The sequence below is a fragment of the Homo sapiens genome, chromosome 18 (assembly GCF_000001405.40).
Source record: "Homo sapiens chromosome 18, GRCh38.p14 Primary Assembly".
In the NCBI taxonomy this organism is placed as follows: domain Eukaryota; kingdom Metazoa; phylum Chordata; class Mammalia; order Primates; family Hominidae; genus Homo; species Homo sapiens.
This window is the reverse complement of record NC_000018.10, coordinates 2,643,953-2,664,820: the sequence shown is the minus strand read 5'-3', so window position 1 is coordinate 2,664,820 and position 20,868 is coordinate 2,643,953. Positions and strand designations below refer to the sequence as shown.

At 42.7% G+C, this 20,868-nt stretch overlaps 1 protein-coding gene and 2 pseudogenes across 10 annotated transcripts in view, besides 5 other annotated features; 2 read left to right on the top strand and 1 right to left on the bottom strand.

Annotated features, from left to right (window-relative positions):
- The window catches only part of SMCHD1 (structural maintenance of chromosomes flexible hinge domain containing 1), a 149,292-nt gene extending 140,197 nt beyond the window's left edge, over positions 1-9,095 (bottom strand). For all 9 annotated transcript variants that reach the window (XR_001753172.2, XR_935055.3, XR_007066135.1 and 6 more), the window contains exon 1: positions 8,560-9,095. Coding sequence is in view for 5 of the 9 variants with exons in the window: in XM_011525642.2 (XP_011523944.1) it covers positions 8,560-8,745 (186 nt within the window). In the remaining 4 variants the exon portion in view is untranslated. The remainder of the gene's footprint in view (positions 1-8,559) is intronic.
- Positions 1,704-1,753: an enhancer, noted in NCBI's record as "active region_13027". NCBI's record gives its function as "activates an Ori minimal core promoter by ATAC-STARR-seq in GM12878 lymphoblastoid cells {active_cell/tissue: GM12878}" and the evidence as "EXISTENCE:reporter gene assay evidence [ECO:0000049][PMID:35858748]".
- Positions 5,157-5,451: a silencer, noted in NCBI's record as "tiled region #12050; HepG2 Repressive DNase unmatched - State 8:EnhW". NCBI's record gives its function as "represses a minimal TATA promoter and a strong SV40 promoter by Sharpr-MPRA in HepG2 cells {active_cell/tissue: HepG2}" and the evidence as "EXISTENCE:reporter gene assay evidence [ECO:0000049][PMID:27701403]".
- Positions 8,393-8,572: a silencer, noted in NCBI's record as "silent region_9247". NCBI's record gives its function as "represses an Ori minimal core promoter by ATAC-STARR-seq in GM12878 lymphoblastoid cells {active_cell/tissue: GM12878}" and the evidence as "EXISTENCE:reporter gene assay evidence [ECO:0000049][PMID:35858748]".
- Positions 8,803-9,252: a silencer, noted in NCBI's record as "silent region_9246". NCBI's record gives its function as "represses an Ori minimal core promoter by ATAC-STARR-seq in GM12878 lymphoblastoid cells {active_cell/tissue: GM12878}" and the evidence as "EXISTENCE:reporter gene assay evidence [ECO:0000049][PMID:35858748]".
- Positions 9,426-12,651, top strand: CBX3P2 (CBX3 pseudogene 2; annotated as a pseudogene). Its single transcript, NR_033754.2, has 2 exons — positions 9,426-9,721; positions 11,519-12,651. The product of NR_033754.2 is annotated as a CBX3 pseudogene 2 (transcript).
- Positions 10,287-10,916: an enhancer, noted in NCBI's record as "OCT4-NANOG hESC enhancer chr18:2653904-2654533 (GRCh37/hg19 assembly coordinates)". NCBI's record gives its function as "activates a minimal SCP1, AML or CMV promoter by ChIP-STARR-seq in naive H9 embryonic stem cells {active_cell/tissue: H9 hESC(naive)}" and the evidence as "EXISTENCE:reporter gene assay evidence [ECO:0000049][PMID:30033119]".
- RNU6-340P (RNA, U6 small nuclear 340, pseudogene) lies at positions 14,954-15,057 on the top strand (annotated as a pseudogene).

Here is a 20,868-nt window from a genome sequence, read left to right as displayed (position 1 = left end):
AGTTGTTCCTTAAAGAATTCCAGCTAATAAACACAGGAGGAATGGCAAGTCAGATCAAAACTTCCTTATGGAGGAATCCTGCTGAAATCACGTGAATCCCAAGATTTTAATGTTAGCATTGCTATGAGTGGGTGAAACACCCACACATCACGTGCCTCCCAGTGTAATGCCATATGAAGTATCAGTACTACCTACAAAGCATTCTTTGCCTCCTGACCCCAAAGAAGTTGAACCTAAATCAAATCAAGCCTTTAAAGCTAACTTTTAGTTTACAGAATACATACGGAGATAAAACAAATTAAGTAACACCAAAAAAGAGCACAAACAAATCCATAATGTGGAATATTAAAGACCTAGTTGATTTCTTCAAGAGGTCAACTGCAGGAAAACTAAAGAGACTGGTGGAGGAGGAATTTGCTCAAATGCTTTAAATTGAAAATAATTAGGAAACAAAAAAAAAACAAATTTAATGTGAGGACTATGTCAGATCCTGATTTAAACAAACCAACTATAAAAAGATACTTTTAAACATTCAGAGAACTCAATATGGACAGGGACATTAGACAATATTAAAAATGCTTTATTTTAATGGTTTGATAATACATATTCAGGCTGAAGTATATGGGGTGAAATGACCTAAGACCTAGAATATGCCTTAAATACATTACAAAAACAAAAATGATCCTAGTGTGGTAAATTCCTATTAACTTGAATCTGGATGAGTACACTGGGGTTCATAACATGATTCTCTCTTTGTGTCTGAAGGTTTTCATAAGAAAATTTCTACTTTAAAATATCCTGGAATAGGCCGGGCGCGGTGGCTCAAACCTGTAATCCCAGCACTTTGGGAGGCTGAGGAGGGTGGATCACGAGGGCAGGAGATCGAGACCATCCTGGCTAACACGGTGAAACCCCGTCTCTACTAAAAGTACAAAAAAATTAGCCAGGCGTGGTGGCAGGCGCCTGTAGTCCCAACTACTCGGGAGGCTGAGGCAGGAGAATGGCGTGAACCCGGGAGGTGGAGCTGGCAGTAAGGTGAGATCGCGCCACTGCACTCCAGCCTGGGCGACAGAGCGAGACTCCGTCTTAAAAAAAAAAATTCCTGGAATAGACCAGTGGAAGAGAATAGAGGGCCCTTAGACAGGTCCACATATATATGGATGCAGAGCCTAGCAAACAAGAGAGGTGACATTACAAATTGGTGGGGAAAGAATAAACTATCCAATGAATGATATTAAGACAACTAGTTATCTCAACATGGAAACAGATAAAATCCACACCTTAACTTAGACAAAAATAAATTCCAGGAGAATTAAAGCAGTTGTACATTAGCCCAAAATTGTAAAAGAACACATAGGGAAATAATTTTGAGTGAGCATAAAGGGATTTCTGAAAAGGTACAAACAGTGGGCCAGGCACAGTGGTTCACAGCTGTAATCCCAGCACTCTGGGAGGCCAAGGTGGGCGGATTGCTTGAACTCAGGAGTTCAAGACCAGCCTGGGCAATGTGGTAAAACCCCATCTCTACAAAAAATGGAAAAAAAAAAAATAGCTGGGCATGGTGGTGCACACGTGTAGTCACAACCACTCAAGAGGCTGAGGTTGGACGATCCCCTGAGCCTGGGAAGCCGAGGCTGCAGTGAGCCGTGATCACACACTACTGCACTCTAGCTTGGGTGACTTTTGAGTGAGACTCTGTCTCAAAAGATGCAAATAGCACAAGTCATAAAGAAAAAGACCAGACAACATAAAAAGATCAACATCACTAGTTATCAGTGAAATTAATATAACTTATTCTCATCAGGTAGGCAAAAATGTTAAATTCTGAGCCCATCAAGTGTAGGCCTCTGTACAGAGAAATAGGTACCTTACACACTGCTGATATGACTGAAAAAAAGTCAAACATAAAGAAAGTAATTAATTTGGCATACTTTAGTAAACTTAAAAGATACTCATATTCCATGCAATTCCACCCTAGAGAAATAAAGCCATGAACATAAACTGACTGGGAAGATTCTATTTGTTTAACAGAGACAAAAATGACCTTATAGATTTTTATTAGGTTTCATATAACCATGACAGTCGTGTATTTTTTAATTCATTACTACTTTTTTATTTCTATGATGTCCCTTTTTTTTTTTTTTTTTTTTTTTGGTTTTTTGTTGTTATTGTTGTTGAGATGGAGTCTTGCTCTGTTGTGCAGGCTGGAGTGCAATGGCACGATCTCAGCTCACTGCAAGCTCCGCCGCCCGGGTTCACACCATTCTCCTGCCTCTGCCTCCCAAGCAGCTGGGACTACAGGCGTGTGCCACCACACCTGGCTAATTTTTGCATTTTTAGTAGAGACAGAGTTTCACCACGTTGGCCAGCTGGTCTCAAACTCCTGACCTCAGATGATCTCCCTGCCTTGGCCTCCCAAAGTGCTGGGATTAGAGGCGTGAGCCACCAGGCCTGGCCAATGTCCCACTTGTTAAATCATGTAATTATGCATCCTGTAGTTACTGAAAAACTATGTGCAAATGATTTTTTTAAGATCTATGTTCACCTAAACATATCTAATTATTCCATATAATCCCACATAAGTCTATTATTTTTTCTTTCTTTCTTTCTTTCTTTCTTTATTTATTTATTTATTTATTTTATTTTTTTTTTTTTGAGACGGAGTCTCGCTCTGTCGCCCAGGCCGGACTGCGGACTGCAGTGGCGCAATCTCGGCTCACTGCAAGCTCCGCTTCCCGGGTTCACGCCATTCTCCTGCCTCAGCCTCCCGAGTAGCTGGGACTACAGGCGCCTGCCACCGCGCCCGGCTAATTTTTTGTATTTTTTTAGTAGAGACGGGGGTTTCACCTTGTTAGCCAGGATGGTCTCGATCTCCTGACCTCATGATCCACCCGCCTCGGCCTCCCAAAGTGCTGGGATTACAGGCGTGAGCCACCGCGCCCGGCCTTTCTTTATTTTTTACAGATTTTTTTGAGTACTCTTCTACGATAACTGCATATAATAGTTCATTTAGCCTTCACTAACTACATAGAAGACTCCCCCTATTTCCTAGCTGTCAAATTATCTACGGATAGGAATGCTAGCACCTTATTCTCTTCTTCAAACAATGGCAACCGGGTTATCGCTCCTGACCATCTAATTGTATCCAGTATTGCCTGTATTTTCCTGCACTGGAGCAAATAGTTCATTTTCTTTTGATTTTTAACCCATATTAAAAACCCACAGATGTTTAATCCATATTAAAAACCCAGATGTTTAATCCATATTAAAAACCCACAGATGTTTAATCCATATTAAAAACCCACAGATGTTTTTTAATCCATATTAAAAACCCACAGATTTCTAATCCATATTAAAAACCCACAGATTTCTAATCCATATTAAAAACCCACAGATTTCTAATCCATATTAAAAACCCATAGATTTTTAATCTATAAATCTACTATTATTCAATTAAGACACACAAACTATCTTTTTTTTTTTTTAAGTTCCTGGATACATGTGCAGAACATGCAGGTTTGTTACATAGATATACATGTGCCATGGTGGTTTGCCACACCTATCAACCTGTCATCTAGGATTTAAGCCCCACATGCATTAGGTATTTGTCCTAATTCTCTCCCTCTCCTTGCCTCTTACCCTACAACAGGTCCCTGTGTGTGATGTTCCCCGCCCTATGTTCATGTGTTCTCATTGTTCAACTCCCACTTATGAGTGAGAACATGCAGTGTTTGGTTTTCTGTTCCTGTGTTAGTTTGCTGAGAATGATGGCTTCCAGCTTCATCCACGTCCCTGCAAAGGACATGATCTCATTCTTTTTTATGGCTGCATAGTATTCCATGGTGTATATGTGCCACATTATCTTTATCCAGTTGATCATCAATAGGCATTTGTGTTGGTCCCACGTCTTTACTATTGTAAATAGTGCTGCAATAAACTTTAAAATTAATCCATATTAAAAATCCATGGTTTTTAATCCACATCAAAAATCCATATGAAATATCCATGGATTTTTCATCCATATTAAATATCCATGGATTTTCCAGGGGGCATGGTGGCGCATGCCTGTAATCCCAGCACTTTTGGAGGCCGAGGTGGGTAGATCGATCACCTGAGGTCAGGAGTTCCAGACCACCCTGGCCAACATGGTAAAATCCCATCTCTACTAAAAATACAAAAATTAGCCGGGCATGACGGCTGGTGCCTGTAATCCCAGCTATTTGGAAGGCTGAAGCAGGAGAATCGCTGGAACTTGGGAGGCGGAGGTTGCAGTGAGCCAAGATTGCGCCACTGCACTCCAGCCTGGGTGACAAGAGTGAAACTCCCATCAAAAAAAAAAAAAAAAAAACCATGGATTTTTAATCTATAAATTTATTATTATTTAATTAAGACACATAAACTATCTTTTTGTTTTCCCTGCTTCATCTATAAAAATTATTTCTTGAATTCACAATTTTTCTAAGTATTTTATTTTATTATTGTTTGTTTGTTTTTTGAGACAAGAGTCTCGCTCTGCCACCCAGGCTAGAGTGCAGCGGTGCGTTCTCAGCTCGCTGCAACTTCCGACTCCCGGGTTCAAGTAATTCTCCCTGCCTCAGCCTCTCGAGTAGCTGGGATTACAGGCACCCGCCACCAGATCCAGCTAATATTTGTATTTTTAGTAGAGACGGGGTTTCACCATGTTGGCCAAGCTGATCTCTAACTCCTGACCTCAGGTGATCCGCCCGCCTTGGCCTCCCGAAGTGTTGGGATTACAGGTGTAAGCCACTATGCCGTCCCCAACTTCTCTTAAATATTTAAGGACTAACTGACTTGCAGTGCATAAAATGATTACCTACCAAAATGATCAGTTAATTTTATTTTTAAAATTATTTTTTCACTATCTCTGAACAACAGGTAATTTTCATCCATGGATTAGTCAGAAAGCACACAGCTTAATTAGCACTGCTCTGAAACTCTGCAAACTAGTCAGCTTTTAATGTGGCTCCATTATATTTCGTTACCTTACTATGGCACTTGCTAAGCCATAGTTTTCTGCTTTTTTTTTTTTTTTTTTTCAAAATCTCAAGTTTATTGTAGAAATTGATGAGCACATCTTATATTAAAATACAAAACACCTAGAATAGCCGCACAACAAAAAACATTGGAGCCACACAAAGGAAAATGTAGACAATTTCTTCAAATTGGTGGTGGGGGGATATGCACACATGGGACTTAACATCTGGGCATATTTTAGAACTAACCAAATGAGTCATCTTCTAATCGTTGATTCTGCAAGGCCACAAGGGCTCAGGTGAGTCAACAGCTGCTTATCAGAGGTCTAAGGGCTTCTTGCAGATTTGTCCTTTCCATTTCTTCCCTCTCCTTTTCCATGAGGTGAACTTTATTCAAATAACAATTTAGAGCTGGGCGTGGTGGCTCATGCCTGTATTCCCAGCACTTTGGGAGGCCAAGGCAGGTGGACCACCTGAGGTCAGGAGTTCAAGATCAGCCTGGCCAACATGGCAAAACCCCATCTCTACTAAAAGTATTAAAATTAGCCAGGCGTGGTGGCAGGCACCTGTAATCCCAGCTACTCAAGAGGCCGAGGCAGGAGAATCACTTGAACCTGGGTGGCAGAGGTTGCAGTAAGCCAAGATGGCACCACTGCACTCCAGCCCGGGCAACAGAGCGAGACTCCGTCTCAAAAAAAATAAATAAATAAGTAACAGTTTAGGATCACCCATAATACTGCCTGACACTACAAACATTTATTGGTTTAATTTACATTTTAACAAAAACTTTAGTATATTATTTTGTCTCTTCCCCTAAGGACAAAAGTGATGGTTCTAATAAATAGTGTGGAGTAGTGTAAAAAATATATATATGTGTGTGTATATATATGTGTATATATGTGTATATATGTATATATGCGTATACACGTATATATGTGTATATATGTGTGTATGTGTGTATATATATGTATATATACATATACATATATATACACACACACATATATATGTATATGTATACATAAGCTTTGGAATCAAATTGACCTAAATTCCAATCCCAGTTTCACTGCTTGTTGACCATGTAATCTCAGATTATTAATTCACTGACTTAATTCAGTTCTTCGAGTACGTAATGGAGACAAAGTTATGGGATCCGAGGCACAATCTAATAATGCTTAAAAGAAGTCTAACAACAAAAAAGTTAGCCTTCTCAGCCTTCTTTTTTCTTACTAGTTGGTCCCTCTCATTTCTAACTAAATTTAAAACGTTTTCTAGCAGGATAAAGTGGGAGGAAGGAGGAACAGAATTAGTTAAAAGAAATATTTTCCTTGGTTTTCCAGTTGAAATATTGAAGGAAGGAATAAATACATCTGTTCCCTACAGCAAAGAATGCCATTTGAGTAGTATAACAGAATGAACAGAGGTTCTGGGTTTGAATACTAACTTGAGCTTTACTATCTGAGTAATGAGTCACCATTTCCACGACTGTGTTTATACTTCTGTAATAAAAGGCCAATAATACTTCCTCTATTTATCTAAGAGTTACTGAGACATCTCACGAGAGGGAAATAGTGCATTTCTAGAGGAAGGGTAAAGTAGCAAAACATTTTCAAAAAGCAATTTTAAAATACGAAACAAGAGCTTTAAAGATGTATCTCATCTTTGATCCAGTTCTAAGATTTCAAACTAAGCAAACAATAATAAAAGACATAAACGGCTATGTATTCAAAGATGTTTTTCCACTGGGTGCAGTGGCTCACGCCAGTAATCCCAGCACTTTGGGAGGCGGGTGGATCTCTTGAGCCCAGGAGCTCGAGACTAGCCTGGGCAACACAGCCAAACCCCCGTATGTACGAAAAATACGAAAAAAAAAAAACATAGCTGGGCATGGTGGCGCTCACCTGTAGTCCTGGCTACTTGGGAGGCTGAGGTGGGAGGATCACCTGAGCCCGGGAATATTTGGGCCTGGGAAAATGTTTATTACAGCATTACTTAAAATCAAAAAAATTAAAAGTAATGTAAATGTCAACAGAAAGGAGAGATTCGGTTATGTAAATAGTGGTAGCAAATGGACCATTTCAAATTTTGATTTGAAGACCTACGTTTAAAGAAACTTCTGACACTATTAAGTGAAAAAATTAATAGAATATAAAACACATATTTTAGTAATTTAAAAAATGGAGTGGGAAGGAGGAGGAAGGCTGAAAAGACATAACCTCAGGTGCTAAGAGTAGTCATATAGTAGTTTTACAGCGAGTAAAAGATTTACTTGTTTCCCCCCTCTGGTTCCATATTTTCTTTAATGTACTGATATTTTTACTATAAACACAATAAACGTAAAAAGTTTCCCTTTTGTAGAATGGTTCTGAATAGAAAGCATTCAACAAAAAAGATGAGCATTCATTCACTTTTCAAACACAACGGGAATCTACTACGTTCAGGCACAGAATTAACTTGAGGGGATAGGTTTTTGTCTTCATTCATTTATCCATTCTAATCTGGGCATTTACAATGTCGCAGGCACAGTTCTAGACGCTGGGACTACAGCTGTGAACAAAAGAAAGTCCTTACTTCTCCAATCGTTTTCATTCTACGGATCACGATTTCAATTATTTCAGCAACCATACAGTTATATGGTCTAGAACATTTCTAAACCTATCAGCCTCACGACAAAACACGGCTTCAAAGTTCTTTTTTTCCCTTGGACGCTAAGTGTTCTTAACAGCTTAAAAAGGGACCTCATATGGTTAATTCAGAGCATGACAATATTCCTTCTTCAAAGCTCAGGCAATGCCACCACCTCATATCTATAAAGTACATCACAGTTTAAAGCGGATTTCCCTCCACGTTCATTTTCAAAGCGAACCAATACACGGGGTAGGTACGTTTTCTGGTGCTCCACAGCCACCCATACCAACCTTTGACTTGGTTTGGAAATTCCCAAGGGTTAGGGCTCAGACAGGCAGAAGGCCAGCTCTACCTGCAGAGCTGACCTGGACAAGTGTCTCCGTGCGGAAGGATCCCCCCCGCCGCCCCGCCCCAGAAGGACCTGCAACCTCGACAGGGCAACCCGGGGACACCCCGCATCATCTAATGAACTTGGGGGAGATGACTCCGGGCATTTCACAACTTCCCACCGTCGCAACACTCACAACAGAGCCCCTGGGCGTTAACTCCCTTCTCTCGTTTTAAAAAAGTTACAAAGTAAAAACAGACACCACCAACGGCTTTCCCTAGACTGCAGGGCCGCAACCGGGCTAAGCTCGCCCAGGGCCAACAAACGCTGAGCTCTCCACCCGGGCCGGCAAGGCCTCCCGTAAAAGGAGCGGAGGCAGAGGGAGGGCCACGGGGGAGCCGGCCCTGCACTTCGAGGCCCGGGCCAGGGCCCGCCCGAGGCGTCCGGCCACCAGGTCACGGACATGGCGGGCACACGGGAGAGGGAAGCCAAGGCCGCAGGACCGGGACCGGGTGACAGGTTTATTGCCCTCAGTGAGCAAGTTGAGTTTCTCATCACCCTCCCGCCCCCAAGTCTACACGCGCATCCCTTCCTCGCCCCTTCGCGTACCTGACACACACACGCGCGAAATCCCGCGTAGTCCGAGCGCTCCCCGACCTGCAGAGGCCGGTCCCCGAGCTCGGACTCCTTTTCGCGCCGATCAAACAAGTACACCGTCCTGTGGCCGACGCCTCCGCCATCCTCCTCAGTCCCCACAGAGGCCCCACCAGGCCCGCCGCCGTCCGCCGCTGCCATATTGGGGAAAAGGAGAAAAGACAGCGACGCCTGCCGCCGCCGGGCTCAGGGCTGAGGTGCGCGCTCCGCGCGGCGCCTTCAGCTCCAGCTCCCGGGGCGGCTCGAGGCCTCGGCCCGGCGCGCTGCAGCTCCTCGTCAGCGGCGGCGGCCGAGCAGCGGCAGGCGCGAGGATCACCCGGGAACCGATTCAAACGCGCTCCTGCCCGTGCACCACGTCACTTCCGCGGCCCGCCACTCCTGAGGAGAAGGGGACGCGCGGCGCGCTCCTCACCGGGCCCGGGCCCAGCGCCTATCGCCGCCCACGCGAGCCTCACGGTGCGACCCGCGACCAGCGCCGCCGCCGGGACTGTGGCGCAGGAGGAAGAGCGGTGGCGGGTGGCGGGCGGCGGGCGACAGCGAGGGGCGGGGCGAATCCAGCAGGCCGCGCGGGCAGGGGCGGGGCTTCGCCGCGCGCGCGCCCGGGGCCCGCCCCCTCGGCCCTCGCGAAGTTGGAAGGAGGCTGAGTCTTTCGCGGCTGCCTGCGCCCTGCGGGTAGTCCTCAGAGGCCGAGGCGGGAGAGCAGGGCTCGGGGGCAGCGGGGGAATCTCCCGAAGAGCTGTGTTCTCTCTGTGGAAAGGGCCCCGCTGCCTTCCCGCCTCTCCAGGATCCCGACTGAGCTTGTAGGTGCCGCGCCGGCTGACTGAGCCCTCTCTGGCTGGGTCGCGTGGACGCGGCGGCGGGAAGCTTCAGGCCGGCGGTACTCGCCGGGCGCAGAGTCCACCAAAGCGAGCACGTGGGTCCCTCTGCCGAGAAAATAGGCGCTACGAGAGCCGGCGCCCCTTTTTCCTCCTCATTTCTTAGTAGTACTGGGTGGGCTCCAGCGTGGGCCCCCGAGGCAAAGCGGGTCCGTGAGAACGTCAGAAGGGCGCTCTGTGACGTCACAGCGTCCCCGCCCCCCGCACCCTCTGGGGGCCCTGGAGCGCCGACGGCATTCGGGGTACGGGGGTGACTCCAGCGCCCTAGTTTTAACGCTGCCTGCGCTTCGCGGTCTCCCACGTGCGTGTAAATTCTGAAAGAACCCACGCCACAGTTACTAGGGTTAAATTAGATGTTCGCAAAATTCTTAAGGCCTAATACGTTTTCAATCAAAGCCTTTAATCGTCGTTACCGGGCAGCGTTTCATTAACTATCCTCATCGTGGGCAGGTAGTGCCCTAACTCAACAAATAAAATGCCATTGTTAGAGGACTAGGTTTACTCTCCAGTTCTTAGAAATCGTGAATACTGTATACTTGAGAGTGGTATGTAAATTCAGAAACCCAAAGGTAGCAGATAGAGGGGTTTTTCAAATCTCAGAATATAAGCCTGGATAATAGTGCGTTTTCTGTTTTACTAGGTTTGCTAAAACCTTATATGGACAGACTTACAAAGTTAGTGTTATGTTAGAAACCTAGATTTGCTTGTGGATGTCAAGACGTTTCAAGATCGTGGGGAATGTGTGTATAAATTGACTACACATATACTAGAGGTAGACACCAACTAGAACGAAATTGTGAAGGCGTGTTTGGGGAACATACATTGTTTGGCTGGAAGTGAGGAGAACTGAGCGGTAGATGGTGGAAGATAAAATTGGAAAGACATAAACTGTGGCCAAATGCCGTTCATGTTCCTTAAGGTGGAGGTGGAGGAAAAGAAAACAAAAAAGTAACCCCCGATTCTAATGGAATTTCTTTGAAGTCTGATGTTTTATTTACCTTTCAAATTCATGCGAATGTCTCATTCTATTCCTTTATATAGTGGTATTTGAGTTAAATGACTCAAAGAAAAACACAAATTGTTTTTCTAATTCTTAGTTAATGGGTAAGATGAATTGCCTCTCTACTTCAGCAAATTGAGATTAGAGCTGGAGATTCGTCATCAGGGCAATTTCTCATTTCTTTGTAATACCAGATTATACAAGCACACCTCTTTCATGTCTTTAGAAGAGATTTCAGGATCATCTCTAAGAGATTTTTTTTTTAATGGTGCCAGAGAAGTGTACTGCAGTATTATGGGCAGCTCTTGATGGGAACATTGATGTCTTACCTTGTTGAGAGATCGAGTCTGAATCAGTTTCTTAATGGCAGTATGGCATCACTTTTGTTCTCAGAATATCAAACAATTTTTTCATCAAAGAAAGATGACGAGTTTGTTCTTTATTTAATTGTCATCACAAGTAAATAAAAGCGTTTGAAATGACCCACTTCCTTAATGAGTTCTCTTCAATTGACTCTTAGTTTTTGTTAATTAGCTATCTTACTACAGAGTAAAATATTTAAGTGGCCTTGTATCAGTTATTTATTGCTACATAACGAACTTCCCCAAAACTTAGTGGCCCCTGAAGAAGTTCCCCATTCCCTTCTTCCTTGCATGTAGCTCAAGTTTGAGTCAGGCAGGATTTGAGATGCCACAGACCCAGACCAGGTGCAGCTCAGAGATGGTGAACGAGATGGTGAACAATAGCTCTTCATGTCTGCAATTAAAAATGGCCTCCAGTAAAACTACAGTCGTCCTTTGGTATCCTTGGGAAATTGGTTTCTGGACCGGGACCCCCATGGATAGGAAAATCCAAGGCTGCTCAAGTCCCTCATATAAAAGAGCGAAGTATTTGCATATAACCTACATACATCCTAGATTACTTATAATACCTAATGCAATATAAATGCTATGTAAATGGTTGTTATACTGTATTGTTTTTCATTTGTATTTTTTTGTTTTATTGTGATTTTAAAATATGTTCTATCCTCGGTTGATAGAATCCAGGAATGCGGAACCCGAGGATACTGAGGGCCACTGTACATTGCAAAAAAATGGGACAAAAGACTTAGTGGAAAGGGTATAAAAGCTGATGAAGCAGAGCCTGAGGATTTTGTGGTGGAAAAAGTACTACACCAAGGTGTGGTGAATGGGAAGGTGGAATATTCCCTGAAGCGGAAAGGATTTACACTTGCTGACAATAATTGAGAACCTGAAGAAAACTTAGATTTTCCTGAGTTCATTGAACTATTTCTTAATCCTCAAAAAAACTGGTAAAGGAAAAGATAGTACAAAAAGAAAATCTTTATCCGAGAGTGAATCTGATGACAGCAAATGAAAGGGATGCTGCTGAAAAACCAGGAGACTTTGCCAGAACTCTTGATCCTAAGCAAAGAATTGGTGCCACAGACTGCAGTGAAGAATTAATGTTTCTAATGGAATGCAAAGACTCAGACGAGGCTGACTTGGTGCTGGCAAAGAGGCAAACGCAAAGGGGCAAACACGAAGTGTCCTCAAATTGCAAATTATTTTTATGAAGAGAGACTAACTTGGCATTCCTGTCCAGAAAATGAAACTCAAAAATTGTTGCACTGCAGTATACTGCCATATAGTGTGTGTGTGTGTAAAACCTAGGTCTTGATTTTCTTATTAGTGTGAAATACTCTATTTTTAAAAAAATAGAGATAGAGTCTCACTATGTTGCCCAGGTTGGTCTCAAACTCTGGGCTCAAGTGATCCTCCTGCCTTGGCTTCCCAAAAGTGCTGGGACTACAGACGTGAGCCACCCTGCCTGGCCAGCTATTTTCTAATGAAATCTATTTTCTACTGCAAAATCTTGTTTTGAAGTAGAATCAAAAGAGTTTTTGGGGTTTGTTTGTTTTGGGTATTTGTTGGGGTTTTTTTCATCAATAGCACTTGTTACTTTTGAACAAGTAGGAAAAGCTTTCTGTAGCTGCTTCATTTACCAGAAAAGAATATTTGGTTCCATGGTATATTATTTCCTCTTTTCTAAATGTTGGGAACATTTTCCATAATCATTACTCAATCATAACTTGTGTTTAACCTATAATGCCTAAGGCTATTCTGAATTTTTGTTTGTTTGTGCATATGTAAATATACATGTACATAGTTGTGGTTTTGTTTTTTATTTTACATGAACTAAGAAATAGCATTTCACAATCATGGGTAAATTCAAGTTTTCTTCTGGAATGCCATCGTTCTAAGCAGCCCAAAGAATAGATCATCTTAAGTTAAAATTTTACCTAAAGCCACAATGTTTCAAATTGAATAATTTGTAATTAGTTGGCCAAGTTAAATACAATGTAAACAATTTAAATTGGACAATTTAAAGAAGCCAAATCAGAGCCGGGCACGGCGGCTCATGCCTGTAATCCCAGCACTTTGGGAGGCCAGGCGGGCGGATCACCTGAGGTTGGGAGTTCAAGACTAGCCTGACCAACATGGAGAAACCCCATCTCCACTAAAAATACAAAATTAGCTGGGCATGGTGGTGCATGCCTGTAATCTTAGCTACTTGGGAGGCTGAGGCAGGAAAATCACTTGAACCCAGGAGGCGGAGGTTGTGGTGAGCTGAGATTGCACCATTGCACTCCAGCCTGGGCAATAAGAGCAAAACTCCGTCTCAAAAAAAAAAAAAAAAAAAAGCCAGGTCAGAGTCCATAATGTCTATAGCTATAGTCATATAAAAGCAACAGTTTATTTGCAAAACCTTCTAAAAGGAGAAATTTTATCACCAACAACCTCTGCACTCAGATGAGGAAACCAGACAGATACTGATGTGGCTTTTTTTTTTTTTTTTTGAGACAGGGTCTTGTTATGTTGCCAAGGACGGTGTGCAGTGGTACAATTATAGCTAACTGCAGCCTTGAACTCCTGGGTTCAAGCAATCCTTCCGCCTCAGCCTCGCAAGTAGCTAGGACTACAGACATATGCCACCACACCCAGCTAATTTTAAAATTTCTTTGTAGAGACAGGGTCTTGCTTTCTTTTCCAAGCTGCTCTAACTCTTGGCCTTGAGCGATCCTTCCACCTCAGCCTCCCAAAGTGCTGGGATTGCAGACATAAACCACCACTCTCAGCCCAATACTGGTGTGTTTTAATTAGCCAAGCAAGGCTTAGCTAAGTGGGCATTTAAAGGTTCCTTCTAAAGAGCCATTTCTTTACAAAAAGTTGAAAATCTTATGCTATATTGGCCAAAAGGTCATAATTCATGGAATGTCTTTGCTCATGAAACTAAATAGATGGTTAGAGATGTTGCTGTTTGAGACCTGGTGGCATACATGGGTGAACAATTGCAATGTAAACTCTTGACTTGCATGCTTTTTCTTTACCTCAACCCATTCATTACATGTAGGCTCAATCATTTCACTATTTAGGTTACTGGTTCAGAAGAAGCCAGGAAAAACAATAACACTATAGTAATAAGAATGTTGTTACCTGAGTGTGTATTGCTTACTTTCTTGCAGATACTGCTGAATGGCGATCAATACGTAGCTTTATATTTTTAAAAATAAAAATAACTTAGTGGCTTAAAGAGGAATCATTTATTTGCTTGTGATCGACAATTTGGGCTAAGCTCAGCTGAAGAGATCTTCTGCTGGTCTCACTTGAGATCACTTCAACAGCTGCAATCACCTGGTAGCTTCACCAAGGCTGGATGGCTCACAATGGCCTCACTCACATGGCTGGCAATTAGCTAAGGCTGTTGGTTGGAGCGCATCAATTTTCCTCTAGTAGGCATCTCTAATAGCATAACTTGGCTTCTTACTTGGTTGTCACAGCGTTCCAAAAGAAAAGGCTCCAGTGTGCAAGTGCTTATGGAAGTTCTGCTTGCATCACATTTTCTTTTCTTTTTTTTTTTTTTTTTTTTTTTGAGACTGAGCCCCACCCTGTCACCCAGGCTGGAGTGCAGTGCGTGGTCTCAGCTCACTGCAGCCCCTGTCCCCTGAGTTCAAACAATTCTTCCACGTCAGCCTCCTTAGTAGCTGAGAGTATAGGTGCGCGCCACCACACCGGGCTAATTTTTCTATTTTTAGTAGAGATGACATTTCACCATGTTGGCCAGGCTGGTCTCCAACTCCTGACCTCAAGTGATCCACCTGCCTCGGCCTCCCAAAATGCTGGGATTACAGGTGTGAGCCACCGCACCCGGCCTGCATCACGTTTTCTAATGTCCCACTGGCCAAAGCTAGTCATGCAGCCAAGCCCCTGTGTGGTCCACTCCCACAATAGAGGTAGGCTTACAAAAATCCCGATATGGAGAATAGCACTGTATCTGTACATTGAGATGAGACAAGTTTGAAAAAATATTGCAGATATACGGTAGCTGGCAAAAAGAAGGAAAAGAAAAAGCAGTCTTGTTAGGATTTGCTGATGAGATTAAATTTCCCCCAAATAATAATACCTAGAAAATTGTGCTTGCTTTGGCAGCACATATACTAAAATGGGAATGATACAGAGAAGATTAGCATGGCCCCTGCACTAGGAAGACACACAAATTCGGGAAACATTCCACATTATAAAAAAATAAAAATACCTGGAAAATAAAGGGCAAGGGCTGGGCGTGGTGGCTCACGCCTGTAATCCCAGCACTTTGGGAGGCTGAGATGGGCAGATCACAAGTTCAAGAGATTGAGAGCATCCTGACCAACATGGTGAAACCCCGTCTGTACTAAAAATACAAAAATTAGCTGGGTGTGGTGGCGTGCTCCTGTAGTCCCAGTTACTCGGGAGAATCACTTGAACCTGCGAGGCAGAGGTTGCAGTGAGCTGAGATCGTGCCACTGCATTCCAGCCTGATGACAGAGCAAGACTCCGTCTCAAAAAAAAAAAAAAAAAAAAAAGAAGGGCAAGGAAAGTGATTTTGGGGGGTTATTTTTTATTTTGCCCATTTGTGGGGAATTCTACAGGATGAAAGTGATTTTTTTAATACCTCTATCTTCTCAAATTTATTTATTTTTATTATTTCTGGAGAGAGAAAAACAATTGTAGTGACATGAATTCAGGCTTTGCCAGTTAAAATACTTTCTGTAATATAATTTGTGACTTAGAGCCCCAAATCTACCAAACTGGTAGAGAACATTTTGGAGTTCCTTCATTCCCAGTTTTTGTTTGTTTGTTTTTGTTTTTGAGAAAGAGTCTCATTCCGTCTCTCAGGCTGGAGTGCAGTGTCAGGATCTCAGCTCACTGCAGCGTCTACTTTCTGGGCTCAAACCGTCTTCCCACCTCGGCCTCCTGAGTAGCTGGGACCATGGTCGTGCACCACCATGTCCGTCTAATTTTTGTATTTTTTGTAGAGATGGGTTTTCACCATGTTGTCCAGGCTGGTCTTAAACCCCTGAGCCCAAGTGAGCCACCCACCTCAGGCTACCAAAATGCTGGGATTACAGGCATGAGCCGCTGTGCCCAGACTCATTCCCAGTTTTAACAAGTTTGATGCTTCTGGGTGGTAGGGGTAGAGGCTCATCCATGTCTACAAGGCAACCTGTTTACATCTAGTGGCTTCCTGCTGCTTTTGTGCTGTTTAGGACATAAGCGCCATTTGCAAGGGTTATTTTTAATCCCATTTGCCTATATATACATATAGCTATTTTGGGGAGGGGGGAACCAGGCCATTTTACCACCCTACAGGGAATCTCTTTTTTAATCTGGATAGAATCCTTTGCCTTTCTCTTTCTTCAAGGCACTCTATCAATGCCTATAAATCCTTTTCTTGGTCAGGTACAGTGGCTCACGCCTGTAATCCCAGCACTTTGGGAGGCTGAAGTGGGCGGATCACCCGAGGTCAGAAATTTGAGACCAGCCTGGTCAACTTGGCGAACCCCGTCTCTACTAAAAATATAAAAATTAGCCGGTTGTGGTGGCGCACACCTGTAGTCCCAGCTAGTCGAGAGGCTGAGGCAGGAGAATCGCTTGAACTAGGGAGGCAGAGGTTGCGGTGAGCCAAGATCGCGCCACTGCACTCCTGCCTGAGCGACAGAGCAAGACTCCATCTCCAAAAAAAAAAAAAAAGTTTTTTGTTACCTGTTTGATTACACGTTAATTTTGATTGTAAAGCACTGATTATTTTTCCTTCAAAAATCCACGTAGTTAGGCCGGGGCGGGCGGATAACCTGCGGTCAGGGGTTCAAGACCAGTCTGACCAACATGGAGAAACTCTGTCTCTACTAAAAACATAAAATTAGCCGGGCGTGGTGGCACATGCCTGTAATCCCAGCTACTCCGGAGGCTGAGGCAGGAGAATCGCTTGAACCCAGAAGGCGGAGGTTGCAGTGAGCCGAGATCGCACAGTTGCACTCCAGCCTGGGCAGCAGTGCGAGACTCCGTCTCAAAAAAAAAAAAAAAAAAAAATACATGTAGTTGATTTTTTCCTTACATATGAAAAATGGTACTTAGAATTTATTGAGTTCTTAAACTGCCAGTACCTCTACAAACACTTTACATTTTCTTGTTCAGTCTGTTTCTACATTTTTATATCATGAAATATTTCATGCATACAAAAGAGTATACATAATCTAAACGTCTGTGAAAAGACAAACACATCTGTCTTAAAACCATTAACTTAAATAAAAGAGCATTATTGATGCTTTTAAAGACCCCAGTAAGCCCCTTCCAAAATGACATCTCTCTACTACTGAAGTATTCTCTATTCTGAAATTTGTAGGTATTTGTTTTCCTTCTGTTTGTAATAAATTATTTAGTTTTTGAGTTTTTGAACTATGTGTACATATATACATTCTTCTGCTCATTTTTTGTTCATCATATTTGTAAGATTCAATAATGTTGATGCAAGTTACTGTAGTTCATTCTTTTTTTATTCTGTTTTATTGTTATATAGTATTTCTTGATACGAGTACACCACTGTCTTTCCATTCTCCTATCAATGAACATTTAAATTATTTCCAGGTCTTTGGTTTCTTTATTTGCTTTTACTTTTTAGAAATCAAGCTTCTATGAGTATGTGTCTGTTGTATCATGATGTTCTTATGCAATGGATATAATATTGCATAGGTTATATATGAAATGTCATAGAATATGGCTAATTTACACACTTACCTGATAATGCCAAATTATTTTCCAGCAGTATAGAAGACCTGCTGCTCCACTACCTTGTCAACATGTAGGAGTGTTTTACTTTTGAAAATGTTTGTCAATCTGGTAGATGTGAAATAGTACCTCATTGTGGTTGTAATTTGCACCTACCTCATTATAAATGAGATTGAGGTTGGGTGTGGTGGATCACACCTGTAATCTCAGCACTCAGTCGAGGCAGGCAGATCAACTGAGGCTAGGTGTTCGAGACCAGCCTAGCCAACATGGCAAAACCCCGTCTCTACTAAAAATTCAAAAAATTAGCCAGCGTTCTGGCACCTGCCTGTAATCCCAGCTACTTGGGAGGCTGAGGCACGAAAGTTGCTTTAGTCTGGGAGGCGGAAGTTGCAGTAAGCCGAGATTACACCATTGCACTCCAGCCTGGATGACAGAGCAAGACTCTGTCTCAAAAAAAAAAAAAAAAAAAAAACAGATTGAGCACCTTTTCATACGTGTATTTCCTAATTGTGTTTCCTCTTCTATGAAATGCTTATTCATGGCTTGTGCCTTTTGTTGATGTTGTTGTTGTTTGAGACGGAGTCTGGCTCTGTGCCCAGGCTGGAGTGCAGTGGTGCAATCTTGGCTCACTGCAACTTCCGCCTCCCTGGTGCAAGCGATTCTCCTGCCTCAGCCTCCCGAGGAGCTGGGACTACAGGCACGTGCCACCACGCCCAGCTAATTTTGTATTTTTAGTAGAAAAATACGGGGTTTCACCATTTTGGCCAGGATGGTTTCAATCTCTTGACCTGATGATCCGCCCGCCTCGGCCTCCCAAAGTGTTGGGATTACAGGCGTGAGTGAGCCACCACACCTGGCCTTATTTTTTTTTTACACAGGGTCTTGCTCTGTTGCCTGGGCTGGAGTGCAGTGGCACAATCAGGCTCACTGCAGCCTCAGCCTCCTGGCTCAAGGTATTCTCCCACCTTAGCCTCCCAAGTAGCTGGGGCTACAGGTGCGGGCCACCACACCTGGCTAAATGTGCTGGTTTTTTGATGAAATTACTTGATTTTTTCCTATTGATTTTTTTAAAGTTCTCCACATATTGTGGAACTCAAATTTTGTTGGTTATGTCTATATAACATCTTTTCCCAGTTTGTGATTTGTAATTTCCCTTTCTTTGTGAGACCTTTTAATGAATGGTAGTTCTCGATCTTAGTATGTTTGAACTTATCAAATTCTTTCCATTATGATTTGTACTTTTTGGTCTCTAAGAATTCCTCTAATACAAAGGCATTTTCAAATTTTATTTTATTTTATTTATTTATTTATTTTCAGACGGAGTTTCACTCTCGTAGCCCAGGCTGGAGTGCAGTTTTGCGATCTCAGCTCACTGCAACCTCCACCTCCCGCGTTCAAGCGATTCTCCTGCCTCAGCCTCCCAAGTAGCTGGGATTACAGGCACCAGCCACCACGCCCAGCTAATTTTTGTATTTTTAATAGAGATGGGGTTTCACCACGTTGGCTCGACTTGTCTGGAACTCCTGACCTCAGGTGATCCACCCACCTCAGCCTCCCAGGGTGCTGGGATTACAGTTATGAGCCACCGTACCTGGCCTCAAATTTTATTTTTGAAGTTTAAAATTTTTCTATTAAAAACACTTAATGGCCAGGCATGGTGGCTCATGCCTGTAATCCCAGCACTTTGGGAGGCCAAGGAGGGCAGATCACCTGAGATCAGGAATTCGACATCAGCCTGGCCAACATGGCGAAACCCCGTCTCTACTAAAAATACAAAAATAGCTGGTCGTGGTGGCACACGCCTGTAGTCCCAGCTAGTCAAGAGGCTGAGGCAGGAGAATCACGTGAACCTGGGAGGCAGAAGTTGCAGTGAACCGAGATCGTGCCACTGCACTCCAGCCTGGGTGACAGAGACAGACTCCGTTTAAAAAAAAAAAAACAATTAGTCCTTAAATTGTGCAAAGTTGATTTTTATGTATTATACTAAAAGGGGCTCCAACTCCTTTTTTTTTTCAAATTGTCTGATCATCATTTATTGAATAGTTTATCCTTCCCCTGCTGTATTATGTGTGACGTACTGTTACATACCAAGTTTCCATAAATGCATGCCTCTGTTCCTGGATTGTCTAGCCTGTTTGTTGGTCAATTTTTCACCCTCTCTACTAATACTACACTTCCTTAATTACTCTAGCTGTATTATATTTTGATGTCCACTGGAGCAAACCACCTCATCTTATTCCTTTTCCGGAGTGTCATGTAGTTGGTTTTGCTTTGTTTTTTTTTTTTTATGCCATTGCTGCCTTAAAGATATGTGGTTGTTTTTTAGGTATCACTTGTGATAATTTCCTCCTCTTTTTGCTCAGTGCTTTCTCACACAAGAGACACTTAGAATTATGGTCAACTGTGTTTCCATAATAGTAATACCTGAGGTTCAGTAAAAACCTGAGTACATCATAAGCTTTCTAAATTGACTAGTATTGCTTTGTAAATTGCTTACCAAATGCTTAGTTGTGGTTGGAAAGCTGCTGTTTATTTCCACATCAACCTCATTATCAGATCCCACAACCCTTGATATTTCATACTGTTCATAATTACCCTGTGCATTCTGATTCAATTACAGCGCTAATAGACCAGGTTCCCTAACAACACAGAAAGACCAACTTTTTAAATCACTCACTGCTTATAGAAAATTTTCTCCTTCTTGGCTTTTCATGGGTTTCACCCAACTGAACTAAATAGGAAAACATGATTCTGCTAATTTCACTTGCATGTATACACACATGTGGCAGAAATTTTCAAGACAAATAAAATTGGGAACTTCTCCCCTGGCCCCAGGTTCTATAAGTAAAATTGACTCTCTGGATTAGAAAAATGTATGGCTTTATCCTGTGATTTCCTCACCCCCTTGTATCCCAAATTGAGAAGCATGGCTCTTGGCAGTCAGAAGCAATAAAAAATTTTTATAAGTGGGTATGGCATAATAAGATCTATCCTAAAAATAAAACTCTGGCAAGAGTGGAAAGAAGGGACACCATTTTGTGCATACTTTATACCTTAGTTAGATGATAAAGTGACAGTTACGAAAGATCTATCATCATTCATCCATTCAGCAAACACATATTGTGTAGAAATTGAGATAACAAATAGAAGTCTCTATCTTCATGGTGCTTACATTCTATAGGGGGAGACAGAAAAAAATGAACAAATATACAGAATGTCAGATGGAGATCAATGTGCTGTGGTGAAAAATTAAGGATGCAGAGTGCTAGGGGCTGGATGG